This window comes from Homo sapiens, chromosome 4 (genome assembly GCF_000001405.40).
Source record: "Homo sapiens chromosome 4, GRCh38.p14 Primary Assembly".
Taxonomy (NCBI): Eukaryota; Metazoa; Chordata; class Mammalia; order Primates; family Hominidae; genus Homo; species Homo sapiens.
The window spans coordinates 110,587,287-110,593,706 of record NC_000004.12 but is presented as its reverse complement, the minus strand read 5'-3'; the positions used below and the strand labels follow the sequence as shown (position 1 = coordinate 110,593,706).

The following is a 6,420-nucleotide window of genomic DNA, read 5'->3' as shown; positions in this document are numbered from 1 at the left end:
ACCCATGCTGGAGTGCAGTGGCACAATCTCGGTTCACTGCAACCTCCACCTCCTAGATTCAAGCCAACCTCCTGCCTCAGCCTATAGCTGGGACTACAGGCATCAGGTATGCGCCACCATGCCCAGTTAATTTTTTTTTTTGAGACAGAGTCTTGCTCTGTCTCCCAGGCTGGAGTGCAGTGGCGCCATCTCGGCTCACTGCAACCTCCACCTCCTGGGTTCACGCCATTCTCCTGCCTCAGCCTCCCGAGTAGCTGGGACTACAGGCGCCGGCCACCACGCCCGGCTAATTTTTTGTATTTTTAGTAGAGACAGGGTTTCACTGTGTTAGCCAGGATGATCTCGATCTCCTGACCTCGTGATCTGCCCACCTCGACTTCCCAAAGTGCTGGGATTACAGGCATGAGCCACGGCACCTGGCGAATTTTTTTAAATTTTATTTATTTATTTATTTTTTGAGACAGGGTTTTACCACTTTGCCCAGGCTGGTCTCGAACTCCTGAGCACAAGGAATTTGCCGGCCTCAGCCTCCCAAAATACTGGGATTACAGATGTGAGCCACCGCACTCAGCCCCTGGCAGGATGTTAAATTCTTAATTTTCTATGTAATACTCACAATTTTGGGTCCCTTAAAAGACATAGTTGTTTTTTATTTTTTCTTGAATAATAAAAAGAATGAGAGAAGATGAGTTCATGCCCTAATTCTTAAAAACAACTTAGAAATTATTGTAGGGATAATATAAGAACAGCAATATATCTGCAATACTCTTTATTAGATAATTGAATTAGTCCATTCTCATACTGCTATAAAGAACTACCTGAGACTGGGTAATTTATGAAAAAAAGAGGTTTAATTGACTCACAGTTCTACAGGCTTAACAGGAAGTATGACTAGGAGACCTCAGGAAACCTACAATCATGGCAGAAAATGAAGGGGAGGCAAGCACATCTTACCATGGCAGAGCAGGAGGAAGAGAGTGATCAGGGAGGTGCTACACACTTTCAAAGAACCAGATTTCCTGAGAACTTCATCACAAGAACAGCAAGGGGGAAGTCCACCCCTATGATTCTATCACCTCCCACCCGGCCCTTCCTTCAACATGTGGGAATTACAATTAGACATGAAATTTGGGTGGGGACACAGAACCAAAGCATATCAATAATTTTGCCTAATGTAATAATATTTCCTTAAATAGAAATGTGGAAAATAAAGCCATAGTCTTTTACCAGTTGTCTTTGAAATTAAGAATCTTCTTAGTTTTACCACATAGAAACTGGGTTTAACATTTATGTAGAATATATATAAACGTTATACAAACATTTATGTGTTATCTATTGTGCACTGAAGATGAAGAGCCTGGTAATTGTAAAATATTTTGTTAATAGTTTCATTTTTCAAAGTAATTAAGACATTAATCCTATTTTCAGTAGAATAACTTATATGAAAATGCTGACTTTAAGTCCGAAGTAAACTTTTTTTGACATTATAGAGCCCCAGTGTTCTGAGCTCTTCCCCCAAGAGCCTGGCCCATATAAAAGCCCATTCTTCCATTGCTGTCTTGAAAAAAATCTTATGTTCAGGACTTTTTCTTATCATTGCTCCTTCAGGCTAAGCCTTATTTGTCCATCAGCTTTCTTTTTGTTTTATCTTAACAATATAGATTAAGTAGAAAAAAAATAAAGCAAAATATGCATAAAAACATTCATGTATTATGTATAATTGCCTTTCAAAACCTTAGTTACTATGCTAAGGTGTTTAGATTCTAGCTCAAAGTTTTTAAATTATTTGCTTTATAACTGAAAGGGAAAGTCTGTTTTTTTCACTTCTTATAAAGTACCTTCCTAGCCTATGAGCCTTTACCAGTCCCTGGGATCCACTGGGATTAACATTTATAAACTGCAAATACACAAAAAGCCAAGGGCCAAGGATTTCCAAATAGGTATAAATACGTTTTCCTTGCAATGGTAAAATGAGGTAATACAAATCATCATTAAGGAGAATGGAGAACTCTCATTTTCAATATATACTGCAATTAAATTAAGTTCCTCTAAAAACTCAATTGGTCTGAGTTTAGAATCTAAAATGCATAAGAAAGTAGATTTCTGATAATGATAGGAGGATCCTGCTTTTCATATTGGATGGCTATGTATGACTCAATGTTAAATATTAAAATACTAAAAAATTTAATGTATTTAGTTCCCTTTTTTGAAAGGGCTAGGGCTTCTAACTTCTAAAGCCACTTTAACATTATGTTTGTAGATTTAGTTTTAAGAATATTATAGCATAAACTAAGTAAAATGTTGCCAGAATGTTTTTCAATATGGAGTAAAATTTTTATTGATATGTACTTATTTTCTATAATGGGAACTAACCTCACATAATTTTAAAAGAAGATAAATTTTAAAGTATAAAATGAATGGATTTCTGTTTTCTCAACTGTCTCCATAAATTACATGCCAATATGAAAATCTCTCATTATTATAAGTATGTAGAACATTTATGAAATCCAATGTTCCTTTTCTTTGTCATAGTTTAAAGTTAGTTTTCACAGTACTTCACTTAAAAGAAAATTAATCCATCTCTGCTGTGTAATCCTTAGCCCTAATATATTTCAGTCATGGTTTTCCCTTTGTGGCTCTGATATTTACACTTTAATTCACAGTACAAAAATATGTGAAATGACACTATCAGTGCAACAAACGATATGCATTTCAATATTTTGGAATATAACTTCACAGAAACCTTGATACATTATTATATTTCACAAAAGCCTATGGTTAACTCAGTCTGTTATAACACTGTGGGACTATAAAATATTTTAGATGATATAATGAGGAAAGAAGATAGATTTAAGTGGAATACACTATTACCAGGGATTCATCAGTTACCTGCTCTCTTTCTGCCTTCCTAGGTAAAATCAAGATCAAAACCATCAATACAGTAGCACAAGTATTCAGATTGCATTTTTTTTGTTTTTGAGAAGGGTTTTAGGGAAAAGTTTGGGAAATGCAGTCTGAAGAACATCTAACCCATAGACATACAAACGAATAGTAGTAAATAGTTGGAACAAACGGAATTGACAATTTATATTCTGAATGTGTCTCATATGCTGGAAGACTAAAACTTTCTTTAACCTCTGAGCCCTTGTCATGGTTTCTCAGTGATTAAAAAAGGAGAAAAGCTACTCCTTTCAGTAAAGGACTTGAGGAAGCTTTTAAAAACATAGGTTTTTAAAAACATAAATGGAATTAATTAATTAGAAAACAATTATATTTTATAAGGATCATTAAATTGTGAGCCTAGATGGATCTTTACTTATCTTTGTATCCTCAGACCCTAACAGTATCCATCATTAGGTAGAAATTCACTAAATATGTATTGAATGAATTACTTTTAAAATAAAATAATACCATAATTTTTGAAAATTTAGCTTCTTTTGTATTTTTAGATTTGGCATTAATTCAATGATAATAACTCAAATTTTACTTTATTTTCAAAGGCCAAATCTATATCATTAAACATTAACATTTAACATCTAATCAAAACAATATAATTAGTCATACTTGTAACAATATTATTAATTGTATTAATTCCATATTAATTTTTACTTAAAAACATTTTCCTGGCAAAAACAAGAGTATGAAACATATCAAATAGGATGGAAATCTAAGTGAACTGTTGAGGTTGTCATAAATAGCTAGTAATAGAAATGTATAGCAGAAATGTGACTAGGCCTGAACATCTATCACTTAATTGGTTAACTACAATAAGTATCTTTATTCAATTGAGTCTGGAGTTTATTTGCATTTATGACCAGATGCTTGGAAACTAACTATTATTGCTGTGATTGTTGTTGAACTTTTAATGAATTACATGCTGCACCAATTTTAGCGGACCGTAATTTCTTCTCTAAAAGTACAAATGTGTGAAAATTACAACAAAATGGAAATGCTGACAGATGTTCAGCTAAAGTATCACTACCTTGGACTTATTCCATATTGTGTTTTCAAGCCCTGTTTTTCTCCTCAGATAGTTTAAGAAAACCTCTAAACAACTCTTGAAATGACAGTACATCTTCAATAAGATCTCTCATGAATTCTGCACATTTTAATTCTCAAATTATGTTAAATGTCTAGATCCACTCTAGGATGACTAAATATATAGAACTAAGTAATACAATTTACTAAAAAGAATTGCTCCCTCTAGTGAAGTCACAATATTATTTCATTTCCTGGCACTCCTGTACTGAGTAATTTAATAAATGTTATAAGTGATGATGACTATTATGTTGATGATAGTGGTCTGGCCTACTTTTGTGATATTAAATTTTAATGTTTTCTGTGCTTGAAAACAGGAAAGTTAATAATGGTTGATTACAGCTGTTTACTGGATATTTTAGAACATTACATTTAAAAACTCTGTGTTGAAAAAGTAATTTATTTCTAAAACTCTTGAGATTATTTCTGAAACACTATTGGTACTATGTGATGTTGAGGCCTATGACAAAGTTGACATTAGCAGAGTAAAGAGGGGAATTAATGCAATTGTCCTAATAATTAAAAGTGTTCTGGGGAAAGTAAGTTTAACTGGAAATCTAATTTTAGCCATAATGCCTATCTTTGCTCTGGTTACCATATACCTAAGAAAAATTAGACATTATCAATCTTATTCCTCTCTACTAGTCAGAAATATTGTGCAACTAATCATACAGATGTAAGATATTTGAAATTATTGGACTTGTATTTAAATTGCTGTTACAACACCTGAATATAAATCAAAATAGTGGGGCTGCTGTAAAAGGACAAGTATTATTTAATTCTCAATTTGTTAATGCAGATCTGGCCTTACTTCATTTTAAATCACAGGAAAGAGAAATCAAAATGGAAAAGTTATCCAGGTGATTACATTTATACAAGTGATTAACTTAAATGTGACAATAATAATAAAGAAGAACAAAACAAAATCAGTGAGGAGATTCACTTTTCCTTCCAAGTAGGACCGCATTTTCTGGGGAATTTGAATTACCTGGATAATTATTTCTGTACTCCACCACTTTGTCTGAAAAGGCAAAGCATTTTTACAATAATAGCCCGGTTACCAGTCCCATCAAGTTACTGTTTTTCTGTATCAATAATAATAGAGTAATTCCACCAAATTTTATGTAGTTTTCGCCTTCCAAGTGCTTAGCAAATATTAATTCATCAATGTAGCATTCCTATGAGGAGGTAAGAATTTTTAATAAAAAAATATAATCTAGATTAATTTACTTGAAAGCACACATGTAAGAGAAGCAGAGAAGCTCTAAAAAATTAAATGATTATATAAGGATATGAAAGAAGGCAATATTATTTTATGGTTCATTCTCTCTCCAAGTAATTTGAAGAGAAGCTCTTGGGAGTAACAGGCCCGTCAAGGTTTAAAAAGATTTTGTCTACAGTCTCGTCTTTCAAGTGAAGGAACAATTAGCAATATTTCCATGGAGACGTGACCAAGTCCCAGGCCAAGAACAACCCTCGCCCCAGGCACCCAGCCCAGGCCCTTCCTGGGGTTCACTGGACCCCGCCAAGAGCAGAAGCCTCGTGTCCCGCACGCTGGGCACCCGCATGAGGCTGCCTGTGGCTGCTCCGCAAGGTCCTCGAGGCAGAAATCTCGGTGGGCGGAACCCAGTTCGATGCTGTCAAGGCTGCCAGTCTCCTCCACACCTTCCCGGAGGCCTCCTCCTTTCCCTCCAAGGCCAAGTGCGCCATTTATTTTGAGAAGCCTGAGGCTTCGTCCTCGTCCTGGGGACCTTTCCGCGCACATCTCTTGCTCCTGCATCCTAGAGGGAACGGCGCTCTGACCTGGAGGAGGCACTAGCCCGACGCTGGACGCACGGAATCCTGAGAACAGGCGGGCTGGGAGCACTGGTGGGCCAGGGCTGCGGCGTCCCAGGCAGGGTCGGGCCTCGCCTTCGCTGCGTTCCCAAGCGAGGCCCTAGAGGAAGGGGCGGAGAGGGTGATCCTCTGAGGCTCCTGAGGACCGGGAAGGGTGTCCACACCCGGGAAAGGGAGGCTATTGTTTTGGCCTTTTACTATTCCACGCTTTCTCCAAAAGCCTGGTTAAAAGTCAAGGGAAGGGCCGGGTGCGGTAGGTCACGCCTGTAATCCCAGCACTTTGGGAGGCCAAGGTGGGCGGATCACGAGGTCAGGAGATCGAGACTATCCTGGCTAACAAGGTGAGACCCCATCTCTACTAAAAATACAAAAAATTAGCAGGGCGTGGTGGCGGGCGCCTGTAGTCCCAGCTACTCGGGAGTCTGAGGCAGGAGAATGGCGTGAACCCGGGAGGCGGAGGTTGCAGTGAGCCGAGATGGCGTCACTGCACTCCAGCCTGGCGACAGAGAGACACTCGTCAAAACAAACAAACAAAAAAGTCCAGGG

At 37.2% G+C, this 6,420-nt stretch overlaps 1 annotated feature.

The window, feature by feature from the left end:
* Positions 5,500-5,794: a silencer, noted in NCBI's record as "tiled region #9284; HepG2 Repressive non-DNase unmatched - State 21:Repr". NCBI's record gives its function as "represses a minimal TATA promoter and a strong SV40 promoter by Sharpr-MPRA in HepG2 cells {active_cell/tissue: HepG2}" and the evidence as "EXISTENCE:reporter gene assay evidence [ECO:0000049][PMID:27701403]".